This window comes from Homo sapiens, chromosome 20, assembly GCF_000001405.40.
Source record: "Homo sapiens chromosome 20, GRCh38.p14 Primary Assembly".
Lineage (NCBI taxonomy): Eukaryota > Metazoa > Chordata > Mammalia > Primates > Hominidae > Homo > Homo sapiens.
The window spans coordinates 40,501,706-40,523,553 of record NC_000020.11 but is presented as its reverse complement, the minus strand read 5'-3'; the positions used below and the strand labels follow the sequence as shown (position 1 = coordinate 40,523,553).

Below are 21,848 nucleotides of genomic sequence, written 5' to 3'. Positions count from 1 at the left end.
TCTGAAGCAGTTGTGTTGTAGAAGGAAAAGAACAGGAGAGAAGGAATGAGGCGTGTCATAGGTGCTGAAGGAGAGACATTAGAGGCCTTAGAAGGATGGGTCTCAGGCTGGGGACTTAATGAGGACAGCCTTAGGGAACTCTTTTCTTTCTGCCATGAGGGGCAGCTGAATCCCAGAAAGTTGTATTAGTATAGGGCTTTCTATCTTACAGGCATTCAACTTACACATTTCAGCTTTGAAACAAAAAGAAAGAGAGGAAACAAAAATGTAAATACAGAGATAATTCTGACCATTATTCTATTCAGTGAGGGTAGGCACAGAGAGAGCATGTGGTGTGGGGAAAGTGAATCTTCCAACTGGGCATTCACGTGCCTCTTTATGTATGAGTGCCTTGAAGCATCAGGTGTGATTCTGGGGTTAAGGATTTTAATATTTCCATGCAACATTGCCCGAAGCATACATCTATTTTATTCTGTAAGTGCTTAAGGGAAGCAATGGTGATTTGTTCCAATGCTAGAGAGACAATCTGGCCTTGTGGACAGATTGAGAAATGTGTGCGAGTCTCCCATAGGGATCCTAGGATGGTGATTCATAATACTCGCCAGCTCCCTGTCCTTTTCTCTGTCTGTGGACATAGAAGACTGAACAACTTTTAGCTCAAGTGGGGCCATGCGACAGGTTTTAATCAGGTTCTAACCAGTAGGTTGTGAGCAGAAATGATATGCCCCACTATAGGGTTGAAGTTTGTAATTGCCAGTGCAAGAATCTCCAGAGCTGTCTTTCTTTCTGGCATGGTGACCACTGATGGCTGCTTTGTAGGCCCTGGATCCTGAGTGAGTGTAGCTAACAGAGTCTCTCTACCTGCCTGCATGAGAAACATGCAGCACTGAATGAGAGAGAAACCTTCATGGTTTCAGCTGAAATCTTTGGGCCTGCTTGTCATAGCAGCATAACCCAACCCATCCTGACTGATACAGAGATTTTTAAAGGGGAATTTTGGGTATACATGATTGCCACCTTACACTGTGACTTTTGAATCTATGCCCCCATGGGCCCATTAGAGTAGTAGCTCTATACTTCACATGCATGATCTCGTTCAATACTTACCAGTACACTAAGAGGTTGATAGGATATTCCCCATTTTGTAGGTGAGGAAATGAGCATAGAGTGGTCAGATACCTTGTCCATATTCACCATGGCAGGGATGGATTTTAAAGTCAGGTTTTTCTGATGCTAAAGCCAGTGCTCTCTCCATAGTATCACCGGTCCTTATAGCTTCAGAGCTAGGTTCCCCCAAGAGGGAGGGTGAAGCAGTGGAGGTTGGGCAATGGAGCTGCTCCACCAGGCTTTGGTCATTCCAATGTCAGCCAGTCCCTGCCATGTGCTAGGAGTCCCTGCTCATCCACTTACCCCATACTCCCTCCCACACTAATGATATTTACTCTAGCCACCCTGGCAGGGTGTTCCACTGCCTAATTACTGTTTAGAAACTTCTGAAGGCAGAAAACATGATGTTAAGTACTTAATGGTTAAAGGATTTATTTCAAGTCTAGAGTAGAGTGGGAGACCTGGGTTGCTGGCCCAGGGCAGAGTGGAGAAACTGGGGATTGAGACCAGAGAAGGTGCATTGTGTCATGGAAAAGCAGGGTGGGAACAGAGGCTCTGGCAATGCCTACTTAGGCTTAAGCCAAGACTCATATTTTCTGGGTCATGTGGCCATGGGGAATGTCACCCACCATTGTTAACTCTTGATTTCTCTCTGGGGCCAAACTCTCGGATTTGCCATTGTATCACAAATACAACAAACTATTTATTGAACAGTTGCTAAGTGCCAAAAAGCTGGCTAAGGACCAGATAGTCATAATTTCACGTATTCTTCACCATGATGAGACAGGCTTTTTTCCCCATATGGAATCTGAGGCTGACAGGGTGACATGACTTATTCAAAGATACACAGGTGATGAATGGTAGATTCTAATCAAGATATTTCTGGATCCTGAGCTTGGGCTCTTAAACTCCAAGCAGCCATATGTCTCTTTTGAATGAAGTTTGGAAGAACAAAGTCAAGCATCTTTGGAGTCACAATGATATGACTTTGAGACTTCAAACCCTGTGCCTCAAATCCCTATACCTTTTAGTCTGTCTGAATCATGGTGCCCACTTCATTAAGGTGGGAATTGTGATTATATAATGTAATAAAAATTAGTGTCCTTCTTGAGGATTCTTAAGTCTTAGCTTAAAAAGACTGTTCAATGATAATCCTCTCTATCCCAGACTTACAAATTCATTCCTCTCTTGAATATCTCCCAAGATGGGGAACACCACTTCTCAAGGCAGCCCTTTCCCAAGTTGCACAGAGCTCTGTCTCAGAGAGCTCTACCTGAGTAAATGTACAGGCAGAGGAACAGCCCTCATCCCCAGCGGGTGTGGGAAGAGTAGGAGGAGCAGGGAGGGGTGGGCATTTAATGGTTGCATCCTGGTGGGTGTCCAGGGGTGCATGCCTGTGATAGTGATGACTCCATAGTGATAATGGGCCCATTTCCCTAATTGGCATTAGTGATGCCATTTGGTCTGAGCACCCACTTCTGCTTTTCCTTGAGCCACACCTCACTGAAGCTCTGTTCTGAATGGTCACACCTGACCTGCCGATATCCCACTTGTCTTGCCAACACTGATTGGTCCTGGAAGCCTAGGCAGAAGGTGTGTGTCTGTTTTGGGTGCTTCTAGACTCAGGCTTCTGGCCTGTTTTGCCCTGGATACAAGTGAAAGCCTGGTTTCCTTCCAAAATGGGATGATCATTTTCTGAGAGCAAGGCCTCTTATGACCCAGATAATGGCCTGGACCAGACGTTGCCCCTCCTTGGGATTTGACATGGCTTCCAGGGGCCAGAGGCTGACTATCAGCCAGCTCACAGGAGGGAAAGGGACATGCTGACTGACAGAGAGAGACAGGCTTACAGGTCCGTAGGCAGAGGGAGGCACAGACAATCAGACTGAGAAGTAGGGAAGGAGGTACGGAAAGAAGAAAAAAAGAATGGAAGGGAGGAAAAGGGAAAGGAAGGAAGGAAAAGGGGAAGGAAGGGAGGAGGAAAGGAAGGAAAGAGGAAAGAAAGAAAGAAAAGAAGGAAGGGAGAGAGGGACAGAGGGAGGAAGGAAGCAATAGTACATAATTTCATACATGTTGCTTCTTTTGGGAGGCTCCTCAGTTCCCTGACTTGCTCTCTCCCTCCCTATGCTATCATATGCTGGTTACACAGAGACTCATGAGTAGAAGGGCAGCTGAGAAGAAGAGAAAACAGGTGTTCTGGCTCCACTACGCAGCTGAGTCCCTTCAGGCATGTGTCTTAGTGTGTCTGAGATGTAGCCTTGTCTATCAAACAGAGACTCCTCCCTTTGGTTGGTCCTGGAGCTGCTCTGAGTTGTGAATAGGGAAGTTCCTTGGACTCCGGGAGTTGCCTACAGGAAAGTGTGGGTCATACTTCATAGGTCTAGGCCTGGGACATTGTAGGAAGCCATCAATAGGCTGAGGTTGACTGACACTCAGGAGCTGTGTGGTGGCTGGGGGTGGGTGGCCAGGGTCAGCTGCCTCCTGAGGTGAGAGGTCCTGAATGCCTCTATGGGCGCCAGGGGGAAGCTCTTGGGGTAAGAGGGATGAGAGAGCATTAACCCATGGGGATGGGGTTGGTAGGAGAATGATGTGAGATGAGGGGACCATTTCCTGAGCCCTCTGCCATGTGTTTCTGACTGGTGCTCCTCTCATTGACTTCAAGTGGCTTTTATGATTCCCATTTTAAAGATAAGAAAACTGAGGCCTTGAGAAGCTCAAGTCACACCTTCTGATTATGAGGGGTGGGGTGGGGTCAGTGTCTGGTGGTGTCTGCCCCTTCTTCAGGCATAAAAACTGGAAAGTGGTCATTCCCACATGAGAAGTCCAATGCTCTGAATCCACCAGTCCAGGCCAGAGCGTGGCCAGGCTAGGATTCCTGCTGTGCAGGCACTGCAGCCCAGTAGAAGAGAGCCAGAGGCTGGTGAGGGATCTCTGCCTGCTCTGGACTGTGGCAGGAGCCAGCAGGAGGACTCTCTGAGCCAGCCAGCAAGAAGCCACTCACCTTCCTGTCCTCTCCCTGCCTCTCCCTGTCCTCTGGCCAGGGCTGAACATGATGTGGGTGATGCAAGGCCTATGGTTCTCTAAATATGTCCCTCACCTTGCTGGATCTCTGTCTTTCCAGCTGCAGAGGTGAGAGCTGGGGCTGAGTGGCCTTGCAGGGCTGTCATCCAGAACTGAAGCTGTTTCTGCCAGGTGCGACCACCTAAGAATAGGAAGGAGGAGTCCCTGATGTCCCTGACCTTGGGAAGTTCACAGTTGAGAGAAAACAGATCTTAAATACATAATCTTAAATTACATAAGTGCAAATTGTTCTAAGTGCCATGAAGGAAAAGCACAAGATTCTTTGAAATACTGTAACAGAGTGACAATGCAAAGTGAGCCTTAATTTAGAAGGAATCCCTAAGGAAATGACAGCTCACCTGAGACAAGGAGTGTGAGTAGAAGTAGCCAGCATTGAAGGGAGAGTGTTCCTGGTAGAGGGGATAACATGGGACAGACCTGAGGCAGGAAAGACTTAGGGATATCTGAGAACTCTGCTAAGCTCTTTTCATGCATTATTTCATTTAATCCCAATAACACTCCAAATGAGGGTTATTAATATCCTCATGGAAGAGATGAGAAAACCTGGGGCCAGGGAGGTATACATGACATATTTTTTGATGGTCTGCTTTTTATTCTCATCTCCTATGCTCTGCCCTGAATCTCAGTGACCAGAAGCCCAGAAACCACCTTCTGCTGAGATTCCCTTGCCTCTAGAGTTCTAGATGTGATCAGTTTTCTTGCCAGTGAGATGGACTTGTGCAAGATTTGGAAGAAGAGGGGCCCAGAAGCCATTCTTTCTCCTCAAGCAGTGATGGCAGACATGTGAACTGCTGTGAGCCCTGCTTGTCACCTGCCCTGACCTGAAAGTATGGCAGCTGTGAGGGTCAGCAGTGGCTTCCTGGAACCTCCTGACTTCTGCGTCAGGAGGAAATTGCTGAGTTTCTGAAGCACAGCCAGAAAACCTGAACACTAGGGACAGACTCTGATCCTTTCTCCTCCAACTCTTCCAAACGTTTTATAAGCACCCAATTTTCTGAATTAAATTTCCTTCTGCTGGGGATGTCTGGAGTGCTTTCCATATTTTGGACTGACTGCATCCTGGCTGATAGAGCAGATAGGAAATTTGTCCAAGATCACAAGCGAAAAAGTAGAACCAGGAGTCAAACCTAGGTGTGTCTGATTCCGGAGCTTGCATTAAAGAAAACAAAACCACAAAACTTAAAATAATAAAACATTTAAAAAATTGTGGTAAAATACACATAACATAAAATTTGTCATCTTGACCATATAAAATAAACTTTGCCATCGTAACCATTTCTAAGTATACAGTTCAGTGGCATTAAGGGCATTCACACTGTTGTGCGGCCATCACCACCATCCATCTTCAGAACTCTTTTCATCTTGCAAAACTAAAGCATTGTACCTGTTAAACAAAAACTCTTTATTCTCCTTCCCCACCAACTCCTGGCAATTACCTTTCTAGTTTCTGTCTCTATGAACTTGACTACTCTAGGAACCTCATGTAAGTGGAATCATTTGGTATGGATACTTTTGTGACTGTCTAATTTCACCTAGCATTTTGACCTTAAGTTTTATCCATGTAGTAGCATGCGTAAGAATTTTCTCCTTTTTTTAGGCTGAATAATATTCCATTCTGTGTATACGCCACATTTTACTTATCTGTTCATCTGTGGATGGGCATCGGGTTTGCTTTCACCTTTTGGTTATTGTGACTAGTGCCACAATGAGCACAGGTATAAAAAAGGGCCTGTACACTCAACCTACCCACCATGTGGTTTCTAGCTGCCCAGTGGTTTCCCTTTCACAGCATTCTGAAGACATGTGATTACTCTCCTACCTTTGAGGCTGAAGAATGGGACGTCGTTTCTCCAAAGTTGATATGCAAGATTAACAATCATTTCTTAGAAAACCAGGCTGTTTTTCAGCATGGTACTGGTACCAAAGCAGATATATAGACTAATGGAACAGAACAGAGGCCTCAGAAATAATGCCACACATCTACAACCATCTGATCTTTGACAAACCTGACAAAAACAAGCAATGGGGAAAGGATTCCTTATTTAATAAGTGGTGCTGGGAAAACTGGCTAGCCATATATAGAAAGCTGAAACTGGATCCCTTCCTTACATCTTATACAAAAATTAATTCAAGATGGATTAAAGACTTAAATATTAGCCCTAAAACCATAAAAACCCTAGAAGAAAACCTAGGCAATACCATTCAGGACATAGGCACGGGCAAGTACTTCATGACTAAAACACCAAAAGCAATGGCAACAAAAGCCAAAATAGACAAATGGGATCTAATTAAACTAAAGAGCTTCTGCACAGCAAAAGAAACTACCATCAGAGTGAACAGGCAACCTACAGAATGGGAGAAAATTTTTGCAATCTACCCATCTGACAAAGGGCTAATATCTAGAATCTACAAAGAACTCAAACAAATTTAAGGAAAAAAACAAACAATCCCATCAAAAAGTGGGCAAAGGATATGAACAGACACTTCTCAAAAGAAGTCATCTATGCAGCCAACAGACACATGAAAAAATGCTCATCATCACTGGTCATCAGAGAAATGCAAATCAAAACCACAATGAGATACCATCTCACTCCAGTTAGAATGGAAATCATTAAAAAGTCAGGAAACAACACATGCTGTAGAGGATGTGGAGAAATAGGAACGCTTTTACTCTGTTAGTGGGAGTGTAAATTGGTTCAACCATTGTGGAAGACGGTGTGGTGATTCCTCAAGGATCTAGAACTAGCATTACCATTTGACCCAGCAATCCCATTACTGGGTATATACCCAAATGATTATAAATCATGCTACTATAAAGGCACATGCACACGTATGTTTATTGAGGCACTATTCACAATAGCAAAGACTTGGAACCAACCCAAATGTCCATCAATGATAGACTGGATTAAGAAAATGTGGCACATATACACCATGGAATGCTATGCAGCCATAAAAAAGGATGAGTTCATGTCCTTTGCAGGGATGTGGATGAAGCTGGAAACCATCATTCTCAGCAAACTATCACAAGGACAGAAAACCAAACACCGCATGCTCTCACTCATAGGTGGAAATTGAACAATGAGATCACTTGGACACAGGAAGGGGAACATCACACACCGGGGCCTGTCAGGGGGTGGGGGCCTGGGGGAGGGATAGCATTAGGAGAAATACCTAATGTAAATGATGAGTTGATGGGTGTAGCAAACCAACATGGCATATGTATGCCTATGTATCAAACCTGCACGTTGTGCACATGTACCCTAGAACTTAAAGTATAATTAAAAAAAAAAAAAAAGAAAATCAGGCTGTTTTTTCATCCCTCTGGGTCATTGGTGCAGATGGACACATCAGGCTGAAGAAGGAGCTGGGCGAGGGATGCAAGGGAGGGAATGGGTGGAGCCTTGAGGTAGTTTGAGAACCAGCAAACTAGAAGCTTATTTCTGAGCCCCTGGTGCAGAGGCTGAAGACACTGCCCTGCTCTGTTTAGCAGCAGGCTCAGGACACCTCCTATTTGAAGGGCAGACTGTGTATTAGGAAATCACTGGTGGCTCTGGAGTGGGTTTTGCTACCAAAGTGAGATCACTGGGTTGCCTTGGGTCCCTGCATTGTTACTTAATTTCTGCTTTTACCTTTCTTACCTTCTGCTCCCAAGGGCTGGGACTTCACTCTGGCGTCTTTTACTCATTTATTTATTAAAATCATTTATTCATTGATTCAATAACTACCTATTGAGTTTTGGTGTGTGCCAGGCATGGGAGATAGAGCAGCAAACAAGCAGATACAGTCCTGGCTTTGCGAATCTTGCATTAGAGCGGGAGAGGCACAGAATAAATACACACATAGGATTACTTAAGACATCGGCTGGTGCCATGAAGAAAATCAAGCAGGGTTGTAAGGTAGAGAATGACTGGGTGAGGGGAACGTGAGGAGGTGGGTTAGGAGATGTATCTCTGAGGGGATACATGAGGAGATGTATCTCTGAGGGGATACATGAGGAGATGTATCTCTGAGGGGATATCTCTGAGGGGGTGATGTTTGAAATGAGATCTGAGTGACGAGGCGCCAGCCCTGCAAGGACCTGGGGGAGGGCATTCCAGGTGCAGGGAAAAGCAGGTGCAAAGGCCATGAGGCAGGGAAGAGAACTTGGCATGTTCACAAAATAGAAAGAAGGCCTCTGGTTACCAATAACAATGAATAGTCCTTGGCCAGGGCTGCAGATCACCTGAGGTCAGGAGTTCGAGACCAGCCTGGCTAACATGGTGAAACCCCATCTCTATTAAAAATACAAAAAATTAGCCAGGCACGGTGGCAGGCACCTGTAATCCTAGATACTTGGGAGGCTGAGGCAGGAGAATTGCTTGAATCTGGAAGGCAGAGGTTGCGGTGAGCCGAGGTCCCACAAATGCACTCCAGCCTGGGCGACAGAGTGAGACTCCATCTCAAAAAACAAACACAAAAACAAAAAACAAACAAAAAAATGGATAGTTCTCACGACCCAGTAGAACATAAAATTTGAACCGAAGGCTGCCTGCCTTGAACACCCACTGAAAATGGAAGTGGCTTCCCTTGTTAACCCTTACTTCTGGTTAACCCTGGTCCTGGTTAATCCTTATTTCCCTCACTTCTGCCTCTTCCTATGCTGTCTTCATGTCTCCCTTCACTGCTGTGTTCCAAGCATGTTCCACAGCTGAGCCCAAGAAGCCAAAGGCCTCTTTTTAGATACAAGTTCTTACTCAACTTTGAGGCAGAGTATGTTTCCCTAGACAGAGGTTTGTCTGTTTCTGACATGGCATGCCCTGGGGCCCATAGCACCGCTTTGACCCAGGCTCACAGATTGGGCAAGTCCAAACTGGGGTTGCAAACACATCACTCATTTATTCATTTATCAATAGTTATTAGCATCACCATCAATAGAAACAAGTATAACAAATGACAGTTAATGAGGGGAAGTTAGCAAGGAAGATATTTTTTGAGGGCACCTAATTGGGACCTGAGGCTCAGGCAACATTTTTAGAAGGAACTGATGTATAAATGGGAGTCTGAAAGATAAGTAGGAATTGGCTAGTAGAGGGACTCATGAGAAAGAAGAGAACTGTGGATTCTGGAAACTGCCTGTGCAAAGGCCCCAAGGTGGAAGAGAGCATGGGGTATTTGGGGACTTTTATATGGATATAGAGGTGTTTTTAAAGGAGGGTGTATGTGTAAGAATCTGGCTGGGAATCCTCTAGCCTGTAGGGTCCAGATTCTGCAGGGCCTTTTTCACCACGGTTTTTGTGTGCGGATTTTTTCTGCACACTTCAAAGTTCTTTATTAGAGAGTCAGGCCAATCTCAGAGGTAAATTATTGCAGAGAAGGAACAAAGATTGGAGAGATGATTAACCTCGACTTTCTCTTGTGCTTTTCCTGCATATGGAAAGTGATCTCTACAGACACCTCTTCCTTTCTGAACCTTGCTTTCCTCCCTCGGTTTCTGTCCCTGCCTACACATCCCCATTTTTCCAACATTGCACCCAGCTACCCTCCTGACTATCTTTGGAAAATTCTGCTCCTTCTGCCGTGTGGGGTTTAAGCTCCGGAGCTCAGGCTTGGGGTAGACAGACTCCAGCTGTGGTTAAGAGAATGAATTGGAGGAAGACAACATGGAGGGAGAGAGACCAGTTAGGGGACATTGTGATTATCTGGGATGGCAATCATGGCACAGTGGGTGCAGAGAGTGGCCATGTTTGAGAGATTTTCAAGAGGTCTTTTGGAAGGTGTGTGGCTTGGACCTATGGATGGACCTACAATGGACATAGGCACTGAAAAAAGAAACACAGGAGGCAAGATGGGGAGGCAGAGTGGGGCTGGGGGAAGTCACAGTGTGGAACTTGGAGTCACACAACTTCATAACCTTGAACGAGTCACTTAACCCCTCTGAGCTGCCTTTCCTTCCTCTGTAAAGTGGGGAGACAAGCAATGCCTGTCTCATAGAGTGGTGGTGAGAATTAAATGAGTAGTGGTTAGCACAGCGATTGGCACACGCAAGCTATCACTGTTAAATCCATTCCAGGGGCTGCTTTCCATAAACACGTGGTTACTATAGATCTGAAGTCTTGGAGGAAGACCTGGCTGAAGGCAAAGATGTGAGATTTATTTCCCTGAGTCATTGCTCCCACCCACAGGGTAAATGTTTGCAGTATTAATATTGAAGTGTTTAAGAGAATCAACTCTTCACCGAACAGCTTCAGATACTTTAGAGGAACTTGTTTGCATTCAAACAATTAATATGCCAATTGCAAACCAAGCCACTTCACTCATCAGAGCCACCCAGGGACCAGTTGGTGGTAACATTTCAGTGTTTAGTGTGAGTTACAGTATGTGTTGTGGAACAATAAAACTGTAGTTAGTTTTTTTTTTCGAATGCATTTCACTTTTCCTCTTTCAGATTTTCAGACTGGTGTTCCTTCCCAGTAAGTAGCCTGTATTCATGGAGTGTCTGGAATCACTTTGAATTCACTTGTATTTTGGTTCTAATGGCAGCCACAGGGCTCTAAGTGGCCAGCTGTCCTGAGAAGGGCGTGCTAATTGCATTGAGGGGCAGGTTCATCTGTAATCTGTGAGTCTATTTGAGGTGGCCTGGGGTGGTGGCTGATTCGAATTAAGATAATAAACATATAATTTCTTCCAACCAGCCTCCGGGCTCTACATTTCTCCCATCTGAGGAGTCTAGTTGAACAAGAAAAAGTCCTGTGACTAGCAAAGGAAGAGATGAATGGGTAAGAAGATGGACCAGCTGTAAACTAAATAGTCATACCAGGTATTTGCGCTGTGCACAATACAGCCCCAAAACTTAGTGGCATAGGACAGCAACTTATTAGGCTGGGCGGGTTTTCTGCCGGTTTCCTCTGGGTTCATCATATGGTTCTCTTCAGTTGGGACCTGGATTCAGCTGGGATGGCTGGGGATTTCTGGGCCTCTCTCCAAGGCATGGGTCACCCTAACCTTCCTATAGGCAAAGCAGTCTCAGGGCAGATGTCTCATTGGCCAAAACAAGTCACACGTCCAAGTCTAGGGTCACTGTTGGGGAGGAGACTACAGAAGGGCATGGATTCTGAGAAGGGGGTGTCATTGTGGGTCATGGCTATGACAGTCTATCTCAATAGCCTATGCAACATTTCAGACTTAATAACTGCAGATTCACTGACTCATATAAAGGTGGTGGTGCAGATGCTGATAATAATCATAATACTATTATTAATAATATACACCATTTTATACAGCACTAATGAAGTGTTAGGGGTTTAAATAATGCATTCAATTATTTAATCTTCACAGGAATTCTTCCAGGTTGGTACCACCTCCCAGTTTATAATTGAGGAAACCGAGGCTCAGAAAAGTGAAGTACATTTCTCAAAGCATATCTAGTGGCTACAGTTCTTCCTGAAGTGGGAGAGGCATGACTTGAATCCTTCCGCCGTGGCCAAGAGATCTTTGGACAAAGCTAAATCACAATTCCACAGGAGGTCCTTTGACTTGTTGAGATGTAAGCAGCTTTCACCAAATAGCACTTTGATGAGCTGAGCCTAAGTGAATCAGAAACACGAGGCTGATATTTGTCTTCATCTGCACAGGGGTTTGGCAGTTTCCAAATTCCCTTGGCAAGCAGGATTCAGGCTCTGCCAAAACCTGGGGCTCTGGCATCATCGTGCAGGCCTGCAGGTCAGGCCAGGCCTCCAGCCCTCCTGCTGTTCCAATCAGAGTCCGGCCCCTTGTGGTTTCTCCTGCTGCTTCTTCCTGTCCTCAAGTCTCAGGGATAGAACAACAGGAGGTATCTCCATGACTCCAGCACATGTGGGGGCAAGATGGCACAGGCATGGTTTGCTGGAGCACTGTCAGGGCAGCAGTCCCTTAGGTGCCAAGAAACCCAGGCTTCGGAAATTGTGGCGGCAGGGCCCCTCCACAGGGCGTGCTGTCGGGAATAAGCTCTGGGTGAGGAGAAACTTGGCCTAACAGGACAGGGAGGCTCACACCCTGGGCCAAGAGGGAGGCGATCTCGCCTGATTCCTTTAAGATCCTGGGATGTCAATCTGAGAAAAAGCAGGTTTCAGGCTGAAAAAGTTTGGAACAGACCTGGTTAATTATGCATTTTTTATTGCAAAACTTCTCAGAATCTTTGATATTCTGATGTGTCAATCCAAGAAGGGAAGCAGGGGCGCGCAGATTCAAGCTTGTTTGACAGTGGAGCATTTGGCTCAGCATTTTTTGGGGCTGCTGTTCTACAGGAGGCACAAAAAGATGCTGCTTTCAGTGTGCTCTCCCTGCAGGCGCCAGAACGCAGACTCATGATGGCAGGGACTACCCCTGCTTTGTTGATATCTCTATAGTCTAGTACATGAGAAGTGGCCAGTGAAAGTTGGGTAAATAAATCAGTGAGTGAATGAATGTAGGACATTCACAGAATCCCTCGCTCTCTTCCTTTCCTCCTCCCTCCCTCCCTTCCTCTTTCCCTTCCTTCCTCCTTCTTTCCTCCCTGCTTCTCCTCTCTTCCTCCCTTCCTTCCCTTTCTCTTCCTTTCTTCTTTCCTCCCTTCCTTTCTCCTCCCTCCCTCCTTCTCTCCCTCCCTCCCTTTCTCCCTCCTTCTCTTTTCCCTTCCTCCTTTCTTTTTTTCTTTCCTCCAAGTATTTCTTACGGTAGTCACTGTGCTAGATCCTAGGGACACAATATAGAAACAGAACAAGACGGGGAATGGTGGCTCACACCTGCAATTCTAGCACTTCGGGAGGCTGAGGTGAGAGGATTGCTTGAGGCCAGGAGTTTGAGACAAGCCTGGGCAATATGGAGAAAACCCACCTCTACAAAAAAATACAAAAAATTAGATGGATGTGGTAGTGGGTTCTTGTGGTCCCAGCTACATGGGAGGCTGAGGTGGGAAGATCGCCTGAGCTTGGGAGGCCAAGGCTGCAGTGAGCAGTGATCATGCCACTACATTCCTGCTGGGTGACAGAGTGAGACCCTGTCAAAATAAAATAAAATAAGAACAGTTCTGTTGTATGGTAATTCATTAATTACAATTTTTGACTTCAGGAGACTAACTGCTTTTGCTCCCTTAACTGGAGAAGGGTGAAAGGCTGAGAGCTGTCCAGACGACCCTGCCGAGGGCTAGAGAGCAGACACCTCCTGACCCATAGCAGGTTGGCTGCTTGTTTGTCAAGATCAGACTGCAGGCTACTTCTTGCTCCCCTGGAATATCCCTTAGCACCTCTTTGTCGAGAAGGCCTCCTATTACCCAGACCTGGCAAAGCAGGCCACCAGCCCTCTAGCTCCCTTTCCTTGCTGCTGCTAAGGCCAAGACACTGGCCTGGCAGCTTTGGGAGGGCAGGGGCCATGTCTGCCTTGCCCACCAGGGAATCTCTAGTACCTGTCGGGGACCTGGCATTAGTGAATACTTGACAAATGATGAAGTCCAGAAACAATGCTGATTTAAGGCATAGGTCCACATCCATGGGTAAGAAAGAAACAAAAGGAGCAGTGTATGAAGTTCTGGGGTGTTCCTGACTTCTTGATCATGGTCCCAGCTCTGAAACTACATATGTGCCCCTTGCAAAGGCTGCAGAATGTTCCCCCAGCCTCCCTTACTGATTCCTGAAGCTGGAGCTCAGGAAATACCCCTCCATCTCCTCTTATGACCAACTTTTCTTCCAGGGATCTGGAAATACCATTTCTCATCCCATGTTGGCCCTTAGCATCTGCATCTGGTGGCTACTGGTTGGTTCCATCAGATGCTAGAGCTGAACTCACCTCCTAGATTCAAGGCAAAGATCTGAATACATGGGGAGTGTTAACATTGTATTATCATAAGCATGGAAACCTGCTTCAGATCACAGTATGGTGATGATGAGAAGGGGGTGTCTCTGGGGCTTCCTCCAGCATTGAACACCCACAATAGGTAGCTGACTGGGCTAGGGCCTGTGCTCATGCCTTACACAATCCTGCAAGACAGGGGCTGCTGCTCCATTTTACAGATGAGGAAACAGTCTCAGTGGACAAAAGTGACATGTCAGAATCCAAGTGGCTGAATGGGCTTTGAAATCAGGCATGGCTGATTCTGAAGCCCCAGTGACTTTCAGACAGCCGCCTTGTCTCCTGAAGGTATGAACTTTTCAAGGCTGTCTCCTCAGCTCTGATGACAAAGGGAAAGCCTCAGGGAGAGATGTGAGGAGTGAGACCACAAGGTCACAGGGTAAGGGAAGAGGAGTAAAGCTACTCCTTCATTTATTCATCCATTAAGATAATACTGAGATCTACTCTGGGCTAAAGGCTGGGGACCCAGTAGAAAGAAATATAGCCTGTAGACTCAGAAGGTGAGTCACATATTTTTTAAGTATGATAAGTCTTCATTTAACATTGTTGATAAGTTCTCAGAAACTGTGACTTTAAGTCAAAGAATGTGCTATATAACAAAATCATTTTCCCATAAGCTAATTGATATAAACAAGAAGTAAGTTCCTATGGCATGCAGTAGGTCATTTTGCTTAATGTCACAGTTTCTGAGGGCCTATTGATGATGTTAAGTGAGAATTTGCTGTATTCCACACATAAATGTAAATGGAACCTGTGAACAGTGCTCTGAAGGAGAAGTGTGAGATGATAAGAGACATAATGAGAGGGCTCTGGTTTGTTCAAGGAGGATAAGGTGGCTTCCCTGCAGAGGGAATGTTTCATCTGGGATCTCAAAAATGAGTAGGGGCTGGGGACAGTGGCTTGCACCTCTAATCCCAGCTACTTGGGAGGCTGAGGCAGGAAGATCGCTTAAGGCCAGAAGTTTGAGACCAGCCTGGGAAACATAGCAAGAACACTCCCTCTTAAAAGAATGAGTAGGAGTTAGCAAGATGTGAGAGTGTGGAGAGGCAGGAGCAAGAAATAGTCCAGAGAGCACCAAAAGCATATGCAAAGGCCCTGGGCCGAAGAGATCCTGGGTCTGTCCGGAGAACAGTGAAAAAAGTCTGGGTGGTGTCTTGAAGTTGGAGCACAATTAGCTACTGAAATATTTTAAGCACAGGAGGGGACATAATCATGTTTGAATTTGGAAACTATCCTTCTGGCTCCTACACAAGGGGGTATGCTTCATTGTAACTGCTGAGAGTAAGCCTGGCAAGAAGGGACTGGGAGCTGAATCTCGGCAAGTCAATTCCTTTTGAGAGGCCTCAATTTCTCCATCTCTATAGTGAGTTTGTAGTCAATGGTGGATACTTTCCATCTAGTTTAAATGCTCTGTGGCACTTCCTTACTCTCTATGCTGTCCCTCAACAGGACTTTCAGTCCTGGGGAGAAGAAATTCTTTGTATTTCTCAGTCTTCCTCTTGACCATTTTACCATGAACTCTTGGAAAGTGAATTCCCATGTGCACACGGATGCATATTTGTAGATACTTAGGAAGAGAATAGGAACTGTTTTCTTGGGAGGGCCATGCAATGGTATCTATTGAACCCAAACATGTGCAGCTATGATTTAGAGATTCTACTCCTTGGTGTCAACCTTCAAAAAATACCTGCATGTGGGCAAAGAAGGATTATAGGAAAATATTCATCGTAGTATTGCTTGTGAATAGAGAAAAAAATGGAGACAACTTTAAAGTCACTACCTGACAACAATTAAAAGGTATGGCACATTTATAGTATTAGATACTAAGCAGCCATTAAAAGAAATTGTGGCTCCTCTGTGTAACAATGTGGAAAATCTCTGAGACATTCTGATGTGTGAAAAAACAAGTTACGGAAACATACATACAAGTTATGCAAACATACATACATACAGTTGGGAAAATAAGTATAGAAATGTCCCCCACACCTAGCCTTTCTTATGAGAGTATGAGACTGAGGCTCAGAGACTGAAATGATTATTTAATCACATAGCTAGCAAAAAGAAGCAGGATTCAAAACCAGGTCTATTTGAGTCCAAAACTTACCTTCTGTAGTTACTCGTAAGTCCTGTCAACCTGCGGGCACACACTCTCAGCGAGACCCGGCTCTCAGCACTCCTGTTTCTCTATATGTAATCTGTACATATATGTAATCTATACACACCACACAAAGAATAGAGATTGAAGGAGAAACACTTAACTGATAATAGTGGTTGTCTCTGGATGGGATTGGAGATGACAGCGTCAAGGAGGACTCCTGCCTTCTTAGTAATATTCTAATATTTCTAAAAGGAGGAATGTTAGTTTCTTGTGTAAACTAACATTAATTAAAAAATAAGACAGAGCCCTTGAAGACACTCAGGAAAATATTAACCATATTTACAACTGCAGAGGCCATGTGGTAGGGCCTGAGGGGTGGTTTCCCATTTCTATATTTCTATATTTGATAGTCTTTACACTTTTTTCATAATGAGAATATATTTATATAGTCATGGTGCAATAAAAAAGGGAAAAAAGGAAGTAGTCCTTCCAATTTAGTTCTTCTCCAAATGAGCTCAGCAACGAGAACACTTGGGGGAGCTGAGGCCCAGGGAGCCCATGTGATTGCAAGCAAGCATGCAGTGAGTCAGTGGGCGAGGGAAGAAAAGGCCATCCACAGCGCCCGGCTGCATCACGTGACCCCAGAATGCAGCAAACTGGCTTGTTTTGCAATCCAGGCAGGTCCTTTAACCACAGGCCTGCTGGCTGGCCCCATGCGGCTGGGGGAGAAGGTGCCAACCCTCTTCCCTCGAATGAGTCATGCCTCTTCCCGCAATAGCTGGGGGGGGATGTGGAGAAGTTGGTCTCCGGGGCAGAGGCACAGCTACTGCTCATAGGCCCTGCCAGGCTGGGCACCCTGAAGGTTGAAGGGCCCCAGGGGCCTTTGGGGATGTCCCTAGATGGGGGCTGTAGATGAACATAATCATGGACATCTCTTGTAGGCCATTGCAGTCAGTGCCCACATGTGTTGATTATAAGGAGGTGGGGTTTTGGGGACCTTCTATTGCACACTGATGTATATTATGTCCAGGATACTGGGCCCATGTGTCCTATTACCTGTGAGACAGGGCTGACTGTCCCCATTTCACAGATGATAAAACTGAGCCTCAATGGAGGTAAGTAACTTGTCCACATTCTGAGGTCCAAGCTAGTAAGTGGTATAAATGGGGTGCAAAACCAAGTGTAGCTAAATCCAAGACCAGGTGATTTTCACTGCACTCTGGTTGCTTCCTTTGGGCAGAAAATATGTGCTCCCAGCTGTGTGTCCTTGGAGGCCACTTCTCATGGGACACGCTCTCAGGTTTGCTTATAGAAGCAGAAGATGAGGCACAAGAAAAGTGGGAGGTCCTTAGGGATGGCAGCACAGTGATTCTCTGCCAGGTACCAGCCTGAGCACATCACTGCCATATGCTCTTCAGTCTCCACAACAACTGGTGAAACAATCGTGCCTGTTTTGCAGATGGGCAAACTGAGGCTCAGAGACTGAAATGATTATCTAATCACATAGCTAGCAAGAAGAAGCAGGATTCAAAACCAGGTCTATTCGAGTCCAAAACTTACCTTCTGTAGTTACTCGTAAGTCCTGCCAACCTGCGGGCACACATTCTTGGCGAGACCCGGCTCTCAGCCCTCCTTTCTCTCTTCAGCCCAACTCTTGTCCATGAGGCAAATTCTCATTCATGCTTCAGTACTCCATGGGACATGGCCTTCTCCATGAAGCCTTCCTCAGCTCCTCAGTGAGGGATTCTCACCTCTGTCCTCATGGCTTCCTGACCTCAAAGACCTGTAATGACATAGGTCACATGGCTTTGTGGCTCTCCCTACTTATCTATTCAGGAGACTGGTGATCACATGTAGGGTAGAGACAGTATCATGTTTTTCAATTTTTTAACCCCTTTGATTTTTTTTTTTATTTATTCAGAAGCTAATGCAGTGGTTACATCATAGCTTTATGGATCCACAGATCTGGGTTTGAATCTTCACTAGGCTGGGTGATGTTGGGGCAATTACTTTACTTATTTCAGCTCCATCTGTAAAATGGAAATTCTAATGTCTACATCTCAGTGACCTTGTAAAGATTAAGTGAAATATATATGTAAAGTGCTTAGCACAGTGCCTGAGGCACAGAGTGCATAAATATTATGACCCACTGGCTTAGTCCTGTGGTATATCAAGACTTGACTGGGGAAAGTGTGGCTGTCCTTGTTAATGAGGCTGCCCCTACTCCATTGCAAGGACTTGATTTGAAGCTTTGAGTACTGCCCACAGTTTATAACTTTACCCCCTGAATATATCATTCTTTATTCTTCAGAGGTGGCCATGGATGGTGACTTACACCCTAAATTTACAGATGCAGATAGGAATGGGATGGGCTGAGCAAATCTCTAAACAAAAATTCACATATGAAATTATGTAAAAATTAAACAAACATTTTCAAAAATGTTAATTCTTAGTTCTAACCAAGGAGATTAAAATGATTTACGTTAATCATTTAAGAAAAAAATGTTATTAATGACCAATGCTGGTGAGGTTGGAATGAAAATCATGCATGCACTGCTTGTGACCATCCAAATTCTTACAAGCTTTTGGGACAATATGAGAACATATTGTCACACCCTGATATTCAAGGTGTGAAAATGATCTTGAGGAAAGGACTAGCTATAAGCAAAAGATGTGTGTTACATCAATATCTAGAACAGCAAAACCCTAGATAATTCTCAAAGGCCCATTTACAAGGGTGTGGTAAATGAAATCATGGTGCACCAATGTAATCATCAGCAGTGTTGATGACAAAGATCTCATGGAAACATACAAGATGTTTATTATACATTACCTAGAAAGCAGAATATTAACTGGAATTTATGAATGTAACTATGTTAAATTTATGCAAGAACAAATATGGGCAAGAAGAGAAAGGTCAGAGGCGAAATGAAAGGGTTGAGATGGGTGGCAGGCTGTGGATCGCCTCCAGTGCTATTTGGACTGAGTCACCCTGTAAGTGACCTGAAGAGGTCCCCTGACTTTGGGATTTCATGGCCAGCATCCTTTTCACCAGGCAGTCCAGACTCTCTGCATCTCCTGCATTCAGGCCTCACCACTGATTCCTCAAATACATTTTCCAAAGATAGAAATGCATATAATTGCCTTTTGTCTGGCTTCAGAAAGCCAAATGGCCTTTACTAGGGATTTTTGGGAGGCCAAAGCACTCTGATCTTGACTGGAAGGTTCCCCATGAGTGCTCTTCAGCATTGATCAGCAGGAGCTGATCTCGCTCAATGGCTCCTAAGAGCTCTTTTCATAGAAACAAAGAGCTTTCATGATGGGGAAGCCATCTTAGGCCTAATGAGGCTGGTGGGAACCTCGTTAGTTAAGTTAGGAAATTTGGCTGCCCAAGAAATATATGTGGGAATCATGCACTTTGGCCTACAGGGTCATTTTCAACTTTAGACAAGGCAATATCATGGATGGAACCATTCATGTCTGAAAGGAACTGCAGAGGGGCCTCTGCAGGTAGAAAATTCCCAGCTCTCCAGCCACCCCACAGTCTCCCCAGAATCTTCTTTAGCTCCATCCACAGATGCAGGCTCCTGTCCTATGCTTCCATCACAGATAGCCCCGCCTTTGCCCAGCTGCTGAGAACAGGCGTGCACTGCCAGTCAACACCCAACCCTGCCACCAAATCGCACTATTACAACCTGAGTAACCTGAGTAGGCAAAGAGAAGTGCTTTGGCTCAGTAATGATTTTACCTTTACTATTGTTCATTTGTTCATTCACTCATCTGTTCTTCAGTTATGAAGCACCACCTGCTCTATGTCAGACACAGACACTGTTCTAGATCATGGGGATATGCCAGGACCATGGTGGCCCCAAGTGAATAATAAAAAGCCAAGAAAATAACATATTTACATGAGTTCTATAAAAGAAATCAGTGGGGTGTTCTTTTCTGATGCAGAACAATGGGTAGGGATGAGCAGGGCAGACCTTCCTTCCATTGGGGTGGCTACTGGGGAACTTTTTGAGGTAGTGTCAGTTCAGCAAAGGCTGGAAAGGGGAGGAAAAGCCAGCTATGCAAGAATCTGGGGGAAGAGCCTTCCAGGCAGAGGGAACAGCTGAGCAGAGTGCAGGCAGGGAGGAACTGGTGTGGTCCAGCGTGCTAGAAACATGCTTCCCTGTCTCCTTTCACTCCTCTCTTTCTGTCTGTCCCTGCTCTCTTGCTCTCCCTCTTTCCCTCCTTAGTTGATCATTTTTGTCCCCATCCGTATCTTGGTGTCTGATTGACTTACTTCGAGTCTGGCCATGTTTGTCTCTGTCTCTTTTATTTTCTTCCCCTTCCTGACTCTTTCAGTCTCCCTAACTCCGAATAGCTTTTTCCCAGCCTTTGTCTTTTTTTGCACACTCCCACCCCTGCCCTGTGTTTTCTTAGTGCCTCTCACTTTCTCTCTCCCCCTCCCCTTTATCTCTCTCTCTCCACCTGACTTTGGTTCCAGTGCTATGTCCCTCTTTCCGCCCCTTTGCCTGATGTCTCTTCTGTTCCTGGGCAGAGGCCGCTGGGAAGCGCGTCTGATTGATATTGCTACTGACAGTCAAAGCCTTTAAATCATTCCCACAGTGCGTCTCTGGGAGGTGGTAAGCCGGCAGTGTTTTGTCTGTACCCGAGAAAGACAGGGGTTTCTAAACAAATATATACATTCTCAGAAATCCAAGTGATTGTATTTCTCCATTGATCCATGCTGAGTAAGTGTAAAGCTTGCCTGGTGTCTGCAGGGAATCACAGAGTGAGCGGGCTGTGCTGGGTGAGGAAGGAGGAGGGGGCTGAAACTGGCCCAATGGGGCCCAGGCTCCAAGGACCTGAACAAAGTGGCTTACTTGTAGAAGGGAAAGGGATTACTTCCTGTTGGGAGAATCAGAGAAAGCTTTATGATGCTTGAGCATCATCTCTTTTGTGAAACCCTTCCTGACCACCTCTCTCATCCCTAAAGAGAAGTGACAGCTCCCCTCACATGTGAGCTCCACTGTGTATGGATGTCTGGCTCAGCACCTAGAACTCTTTTTTATTTTTATTTTACTTTAAGTTGTGGGATACATGTGCAGAATGTGCTGGTTTGTTACATAGGTATAAATGTGCCATGGTGGTTTGCTGCACCCATCAACGTGTCATCTAGGTTTTAAGCCCAGTATGCATTAGGTATTTGTCTTAATGCTGTCCCTCCCCTTGTCCCCAACCCCCTGACAAGCCCTGGTGTGTGATGTTCCTCTCCCTGTGCCCATGTGTTCTCATTGTTCAACTCCCACTTACGAGTGAGAACGTGCAGTGTTTGGTTTTCTGTTCCTCTGTTAGTTTGCTGAGGATGATGGTTTCCAGCTTCATCCGTGTCCCTGCAAAAGACATGAACTCATTCTTTTTCTAATGGCTGCATAATATTCCATGGTATATATGTGCCTCATTTTCTTCATCCAGTCTCTCAATGATGTGCATTTGGGTTGGTTCCAAGTCTTTGCTATTGTAAACAGAGCACCTAGAACTCTTTAGGGTCATTATTTGTTCATAGGTTTTTCTTCTTTAGGGGACTATGCACTTCCTAGAAACAATGATCCAGGGGTACTTAATTCACACCCTCCGTGGCCATCCTGCAGCCTCTATCCTATCTGGCTGAGTCTGTTTCCAATTCAGTGCTCTTTATGGGGGTCTATGTAAGTAACACTCACTCAGTAGGTTGGTG

At 45.3% G+C, this 21,848-nt stretch overlaps 2 annotated features.

Annotated features, from left to right (window-relative positions):
• Positions 16,368-16,879: an enhancer, noted in NCBI's record as "H3K4me1 hESC enhancer chr20:39135315-39135826 (GRCh37/hg19 assembly coordinates)". NCBI's record gives its function as "activates a minimal SCP1, AML or CMV promoter by ChIP-STARR-seq in primed H9 embryonic stem cells {active_cell/tissue: H9 hESC(primed)}" and the evidence as "EXISTENCE:reporter gene assay evidence [ECO:0000049][PMID:30033119]".
• Positions 16,880-17,391: an enhancer, noted in NCBI's record as "H3K4me1 hESC enhancer chr20:39134803-39135314 (GRCh37/hg19 assembly coordinates)". NCBI's record gives its function as "activates a minimal SCP1, AML or CMV promoter by ChIP-STARR-seq in primed H9 embryonic stem cells {active_cell/tissue: H9 hESC(primed)}" and the evidence as "EXISTENCE:reporter gene assay evidence [ECO:0000049][PMID:30033119]".